Source organism: Homo sapiens, chromosome 8, assembly GCF_000001405.40.
Source record: "Homo sapiens chromosome 8, GRCh38.p14 Primary Assembly".
Classification (NCBI taxonomy): domain Eukaryota; kingdom Metazoa; phylum Chordata; class Mammalia; order Primates; family Hominidae; genus Homo; species Homo sapiens.
Genome location: NC_000008.11, coordinates 21,162,277 through 21,169,877, shown reverse-complemented (window position 1 = coordinate 21,169,877; position 7,601 = coordinate 21,162,277). Strand labels below are relative to the sequence as shown.

Sequence of the window (7,601 nt, the reverse complement as noted above, 5' to 3'; positions counted from 1 at the left end):
TGGGCTTCCTGATGTTCCTGTGTGAGGAAGTACAAAGAATCAGCTCTCCCCCACTCTCACCCCCTCGCTTGTCTTTCCAGGGCTGCTCCTGGAGCTGGAGGCAAATAGCCTAGAGATGCCTCCCTTGCCCTGTGGTTGCTTCCAGCGCAGCTACCGACAGTCAGCCTCGTGAGAGGGTAGAGCAATGGAAGGGTGCAAAGGGCAGAAGGGAGGGTCATGAGGAGTGTCTGTACGCATGTCAGGTGTGGGGAGGGAGGAAGGGCTGTGGGTGGGGCAGCATGATTGACGTCATGAGCCCACAAGATGCAAGGCTCTGAGGAGTCACCCAGTTTATCAGCTCCAGGGGTGTTCCTCCTCCCACCATTGGAGCTTCTGGGGCAAGGAGGGTCAGAGCCTGAGTCCATCCCCTCTATCCCCAGGAGGTCAGCAGTGTCTGAGGCCTCGGTGGTGAAGCTTACTGGGAGTCTGCCATTCTAGACTCTTCACTTGAAGGCAGCCTGCTTTGGCATCGTGAGACTGTGATGAATGTCTTCTGTATAACCGTGATGATGTTGATGACAAGGGCGGTGATGGTGACGAGCTCCCATTTCTTGAGAACTTACTCTGTGCTGACAGTTTTACATGTAGGAACCCAGATAATTCTTACATGCTCCTATGAGGTTGCTACTATTATATACATAGTTACATAAATTATACACACATACACACACATATATATATACACACATTATATATATTTATAAGGAAATTGAGGTAGTGGAGATACTCAGTTACTTGCCCAAAGTCACACAGCTAGAATGGAGGAACGCATGATACTATATGCATAGTGTCCACATGTGGAAAGCTCCAGTGACCAAGGTCGTCTTCACCATCATGTGCACTCCTCCAGCCTGGCAGCCTTGAGCACCTGGGCAATGAGATGCATTCTCATGGGGACACCAGGATGCATGAACCGTGCAGCCTTCCTGTGGGCCCTGGACAGCAGCACATCCTCTCTGGCTGGAGCCCAGGCTCACAGTCTCCCTACCTGGGAGAAAAAGGACTTTGACCAACATTTGGATTTTGTCCCGAGGCTGGCTGGATGAAAGAGAAAAAAGGCAATTGGTTGGTGGAAAGCCAAGCAGATGAGCACCAGTTAGTTGGAGAGCCAGGTGAGAAGCCAAGTCCGCCGGGCCTAGGGAAGCTGGGCCCTCTTTAGCGCATGATGCCATTTGTCTGTGCAATTCACACCCTTTCCTGCCTCTAAGCCACGTATGTTCGTCTCCCTCACTGAAGACCTCTCAAGGGAAGGAGAGCCAACAGCCATTCATCGAGCATTTATTGTGAGTACCAGATCCTGGGCAGGAAAGCCTTCTCCTTTCCTAACTGAGCCTGCACTGAGTTTAGACATCCACCATTCTCCACTTAGTTATCTCATTCAGGGCTGCACAGCCGTACCCTGTCCTGAGTGCAGACGATGGGTTTTGGCAAGGCATAACTTGTGTGTGTCAAGCATCCCGGGCCGATGAGGGCTGCAGGGGTTGGAGAGCTCCCGGGGAAGTTCTGTTTTTTAAAAAGATGGCAAGAATGAACGACTCCATGTCTTTCTCAGTGAATGGCAGCTGTCTTGTGACCCCGATGGGAGAGACCTGGAGAAGTTACCCTCATCTTGAACATTCTGAATGTGGCAGAGCATCAGAAACAAAACAAAGAACAGCCTCATCCTGTGAGGACGTGAAGTCAACAGAGCCACCTGTCTTTGGATTTTCCATGCTGTGAGATTGTAAAATTCCTGGTTGTTTGAGCGAGTTGAGTTGTACTGCCCGTGATTGTATTTTGTCTTGTTGGTTTTGTCGTTTGCAATGGACGCCCCACCCTGGAACAAAGTGGGTGTGAACTGAGGGAGGGCGAATCTCTGCTGCACCCTTCTCTAAAGGCTGGCAAGCAGCTCCACTTCCACATACCAGAGTTCAAGAGGTCCAGCTGCTCAAATTAGAGCTTGAGAATCATCGCAGGGGATCGCCTGGATTCCACTGGGGGGCAAAAAGACAACAAGATCTGTGAATTCTGAAGGTGCATGTCTTTGCTTTCTTGAAAGGGGGATAACAAGTATGTTTTCTCTTGGGAAGACTCTAGAACTGCCTGTACTCCCAGACCACAGAGAACATTCCCAGAAGAAAGCCTGTAGGATTTTCTTTGTGGTTTGACTCCTCCTTCCAAACCCGCCCTTAGTTTCACCTTCTCCCCTGTCCTAGCCCAAAACCTGGAGCATGCAGCCCAGGCAAATCTCCTAGGATGTATGCAGGCTGAATCTCTCATCTGGTGCTTTGTTGCAAGTCCCACAGGACCCTGTCTTAAAATCTTGGTGCTGCCATGTTGTGGGTGAGACTGGGCAGCCACGGGAAAGTGAAGCCCAGGTTGCTTCCCCAGAGAGAACTGTGGTCCAACAGGAATGTTTTGGACATCCTCCTCCAGTGGAGGGGACTTTCCTGGGGATCATGCATTACTCTGAGAGTGAAAAAGAACTGGAATAGAACTCAGAGGTCATTAAGTCCAGCTCTCTCATACTCAGATGAGAAAGTCAAGGACAAAAGAGGGAGGCATGTTCCCAAGATCCAGGGCTACCCCACTAACACTTGCCAGACTAAGCTGTTACTATTCCCCATGTCCCCATCCCCATTTCCTGTGTCTTCGTCTCTTCTCATGCTCTTTCCTCACCTGTGAAATGGGCGTTTGGACTTCGTAAACTTGTGATGAAGATTAACTGAGAGCCACTCCTAGTTCAAACTCCTGTGCAGGGTCTGGTACTCACAATAAATGCTCGATGAATGGCTGTTGGCTTTCCTTCCCTTGAGAGGTCTTCAGTGAGGGAGCTGAACATACACGGCTTAGAGACAGGCATTGGCTCTTCTGCCGACTGCTTGGGTGACCTGGGAACCCTTCTCCCAACTGGACCACAACTTTCTCTAGAGGAAGGACTGAGCCAGGATCCTCACTTAAGTAGCCACGTTCCTGGATCAGAGAGTGCTCGAGTCACAACTTAATAACAACGTTAAGGTTGTTTAAGAACCTTAAGAGTTCTAAGAACCCATTTATTGTGTCTAAGAACACATTTATTAGAGAAAAAGAGAAGAAAGAATAGGGTTTTTGCTGTTTTAAGAGGATTGGCAGAAGGCAGGAATCAAGGGAGAAAGAAAGTGGAGCAGGAAAGCCCAGTTTCATGGTCCTGCCTCCAACTGAGCCAGTCCCTCAGCAAGGTCACTGGCCCCCCATTGTATCCTTCATTGCCACCAAGCAGCCTTATTAAGTGACTGCTGTGTATCAAGAAAGTGCAGTGGGAACTGGTCAGCTCTGGATGGACAGAGGCAAAAGTCTGTAGGCATGAGAGGCAGATGGATATCTAATATCATAGCCAAGTATTGGAGCCAGGGCAGAGGTGGGACAGATTAATTACAATTGGGGCAGACAGAAAAAAGCCTGGCCACTGGCCCCTGGATTCTGTTGGTGGGAACAGGGTTTCAACCTCACCGGCAAGCCAGTGTGCAGACTGCATCAAGGCATTCTCGCAAAAGGATGAAGCTTAGGAACACACTTCCAGGAGGGATGAAACCCAGATAACCAACCTGCAGGCAGTCAGCCTCAAATACCCTCCTGAGTTGCTTGCAGAGTGTGGCACCCTAGCCACTAGTCTTCTCCCCCAGGGCTAGGACTGAGTGGCATGCAAAGGCTAACTGGAATCCTAAGAAACACACAAGGAAAAGATAGTGTATCAGAACAGGAACTTGGTACAGGGATCTAGGCAGGATACAAAGGTGAACTGGAGAGCAGGTCTGGGTCACGGGGATGCTGTCAGGTAAAAGGAAGTGTTCATTTCTCAGCACTGGAGCACTGCCTACTCCTAACATGGGAAGTAAATGGAGGCTCTGTCTAAGATAGCCTGCATCACATTTGGTCATGGAACCCTGGGGTAGCAATGAGCCTGCAGTAGCTCTGCTGAGAGGACGATGATGACTGCAGAGGCCCCAAAAGAACCCATCTGATGAACATTTCCCTCCTAAGAGCTTCCAGAAGCCAGGTAGCCAGTACAGGCACAGCCCCATGACTGAGTCTTTCTTTTTGGACTTGGAGGTGTTTAACTCTCCTGTGGGGGGCCCACAAGGATTTACGCAGGAAATGGCCATAATTAATTAGAAAGGATTTCTCTCTTCTCTTTTTCTCTATTAAATGTATTCTTAGACCCTGTATTGTCATTAAGCTATGACTCCAGCACTCTCTGATCCAGGAACGTGGCTATTTAAATGAGGGTCCCAGGCTCAGTCCTTGCTCTTAAGAAAGTTGTGGTCCAGTTGTGGACCTTTCTAATATCTTTCTAATTCATTATGGATATTTCCTGCTTGAATCCTTGCCTGCTTCTCTTTCTACTCTACGAAAGTTCTAAGGGAGATTGCATCTACCCCTAGGGCTTTGGGTGGCCCCTGCCAACCACATGTCAGGCTGTCCCTGCCAGGCCTCGCTCCTGTGCTGTGGAGCCACTTCCTGGAGCTGCTTTCTCAGCTTCCTCTCTTTTGCAGCTCGCAAGCACTGGAGACTCAACCGCTCTGAAAGTGAGCCTGTCATTTCTCCCTTGCAAATCTGCTTCTCACACTGAATATTTTTATTCAGCAAATGTCATTGTCATCCACCCAGTCACCAAAATGAGTAATTGAGGATTACCCCCTCCTTTTCTTTTATCTTCCCTTCCTCTTACCTCTATCATGGAATCATTTCCAAGACCTGCAAATTCCACCTTCTAAACATGCTCCACTCCCAGACCACCCCCTACCCCCGGCACCCATCATTACTGTAACAACCGTCTGCATGGATTCTTCTCTCATCCTCAGTCTTGGATGACTTCCCAACCACAATTCCATCTCTCCTCCTTGCAATGGGAGTCCTCTTTCTAAAGCACAAACCTGATCATGTCACACCCTTACATCATATCTTTCGGTGGCATCCCAGGCTCTCTGGGAGAAAATCCAGACTCCTTAGCATGATGTGCAAGGTCCCACTCCTCTCTTTGATCATCTCTCACTTCTTCCCCATAGAAACGGTTCTTTTTGGCCATATGGAAATACATGTGATTGGAGAAATGTACTTTGTCTTTTAAGTGGCCTAACCTGTGTATATTTTATTCCCTCTACTTAACCTTCCAAAGTCCACCCAGGCAGGCATAGCTTCTGTTTATCAGCATTCCTTGGCTCTGAGCAGGGTGTGGTACTGTCGCCACTATCCTTCTCCCCCAAGACTGGCAGAAACTGGCCCTTCCTGCCCCACTCTCCGAACAGAGCTTGGTGTCCTCTGTGCTTTCCACTATCAGAGCATTAAAAGTGCTAATTTCACTGATTGTTGTCCAATTATATGCTTCCAGGCTGTGAAGTTTATCTCTGTACCCTGGAGCCTAGCACAGTGCCTGGCACTTAGGAGGCACTTCGTCAAAAGCAGATGAATGAATAAATGAGTTCACTGGACACAGTTTTATTTTGATTTCTGTGTTTGTCCTTGGGAAACAGATCAAGGAAGGGAGATTTCCAGGTGTCTTCCCTTTGGAGGCTCCTATATGCCAGACACACACACCTTCCCCTCCTCTCCTTGGGGAGAAGGCCTGGTGCCTCATACAGCTGTGTCCTTAGCTAGTTAACTCAGAGGACACTCCTTCTGCCAGATGCTGCTTGGGTGAGAGGAATGGCTCGTAGCCTCCTCCATTGCAGCAGAGAAGGTTATAAAACTCCACAAAGAGAAAAGGTTGGCTTGCTGCTTCCAGACAAGAATTAATAGGTGCAACCCATAATCCTGTCTTGAGGGAGATGAAGGGAAAAAGGAGAGCGAGAACATAATGGCCAAATCCACCCGTCTTGCTGCCTGAGTGCCTCTCTGGTGTTTGAAGTTCAATGCATAGAAAACGAGCAGAGAGGCTCAGGAGTCAGCACTTTGGGGGAGTCCAGCATGTGGCAGCCTCCAGGGAAGCTCCAGCTCACCCCTGCCATCCAGCAGAGACGCAGAGGAGATCAAGGGAGCAGAGCTCAGGCTCGCTCTCATCCCACCCGCTGGGATGGCAGCTGCTGGGGATATTTAGCCTATTCTGGTACCTCTGACCGGAGGAGTCAGACAGCCACTCGGTGCTGAAGGAGATAGTTGGGATGCTGCGGTACAATCCCCTTCACCTTTTCAGGTGAGGAACCAGAGGCCAGGCCAGGGCAAGGGACTCTTCCTCTGGAGTCACACGAGGAGGGGAGGCTGACAGGGGCGGGGTTAGTGGAAGGGCCGGTTAGCTCACACAAACATACAGGATCCTCCCCATCTCGACAGCTTCAAAGTGGCCTGCTCCCCTAGGCCTGTGCTGGTGGGTTTGTCCATCCCACTGGGGACTTAGCCTGAATGCTTGCCCATCTATCTGGGCACAGAGCAACTGTCTCAAGCACCTGAAGTGGTGTGGGGTATGCTCCTCCCAGAGTTAGAGGCCCTCACCTGAGCTGATTTGGGGGCCCTTTTCAAGTAGGCCTTGCTTCTTCTCCAACCAACCCCAGCGTCAACCCCTCATGCCCAGAACAGTGATGGCCATGAGGGAAGGGCTCAGTACAGGGGTGTGGATGACTTGGATGATGTTGATCATAGTAGCAATTGTCAGCATTTATTGAGAGCTTACTGAGAACCTTGTACTTTGGATACATGACCTCATTTGTTCTTCCCAGCAAGTCATGACAGGCTCCTGCTCTTATGTCATGGGGATCACAAAAACGCCTGCCTCTCAGTCAGGGTGAAGATAGAAGGGGTTAATACCTGGAAAGCACTTTCACAATGCCTGATACCTAGGGAGTATTTAATCAATATCACTCATTCACCCCCTACACATTCATGCATTCCTTCAACAATTCATTCAACAAAGGCTTACTGTGTGCTCCGTGTTGGGAACTGTTCTCATCTCTGGGGATCTGTCTGAAACTAAACACTGTGCCCTCATAAGGATCAGTGCAAGCAAAGGGAGACAGACAATAAATAAATAAGTAAAAGGAAGATAATAGGCTAGATGGCAATAAGGACCATGGAGAAAGATGAAATAGGGAGGTCAGAGAGGAAGTGCCAGGGCTGGGGTTAGAGAAGTTCTCGCTGAGAAGGTAACATTTGAGCAAAGTCATGGAGCAGGTGAGGGATGTGTCCTCACATGTATATCTGGGGTAAAGGCTTTGCAGGTAGACGGTACTACAAAGGCAAAGGGCTTGAATCTGGAGGGTGCGTGGTCAGTTCAAAGAATAGAGTTAGGCTGGTGTAGTCTGGGCAGAGAGGACCAGTGAGATGAGGCTTGAATGGGAGCCAAACTGTGAGGGCAGAGCCTGTGAGGCCTTGTAGGCTCCAGGGAATGTTTTGGCTTTTACTTTGAGTGAGACGGAGACCCTTTACAGGATTTGAGGGGTGCAAATGACTTACATTATAGTAGGATCACTCCACAACCTTCCTGCAGCTGTACACTGGGAGCTAGGGAAGCTTAGAGATAAGCCAGGAGCTGATGCAGTAGAGGAGTTGGTAGCTTGGAGCAAGGTGGTGGAGATTTAGTTGGGAAGTAGTAGTTTCCTTGATACATTTTGAAG

General features: G+C 49.3%; 1 long non-coding RNA gene across 1 annotated transcript, besides 1 other annotated feature; it reads left to right on the top strand.

Moving 5' to 3' along the window:
* The first annotated feature begins 419 nt into the window (after window positions 1-419).
* LOC124901902 (uncharacterized) lies at window positions 420-2,812 on the top strand. The gene is made up of 2 exons (XR_007060846.1): window positions 420-1,322; window positions 1,592-2,812. It is a non-coding gene; the product is annotated as an uncharacterized LOC124901902 (long non-coding RNA).
* Window positions 1,364-2,563: an enhancer, noted in NCBI's record as "CDK7 strongly-dependent group 2 enhancer chr8:21024826-21026025 (GRCh37/hg19 assembly coordinates)". NCBI's record gives its function as "activates an origin of replication core promoter dependent on BRD2, BRD4, P300/CBP, MED14 and CDK7 cofactors, with strong dependence on CDK7, by STARR-seq in HCT116 cells {active_cell/tissue: HCT116}" and the evidence as "EXISTENCE:reporter gene assay evidence [ECO:0000049][PMID:35650434]".
* Window positions 2,813-7,601: the final 4,789 nt, after the last annotated feature.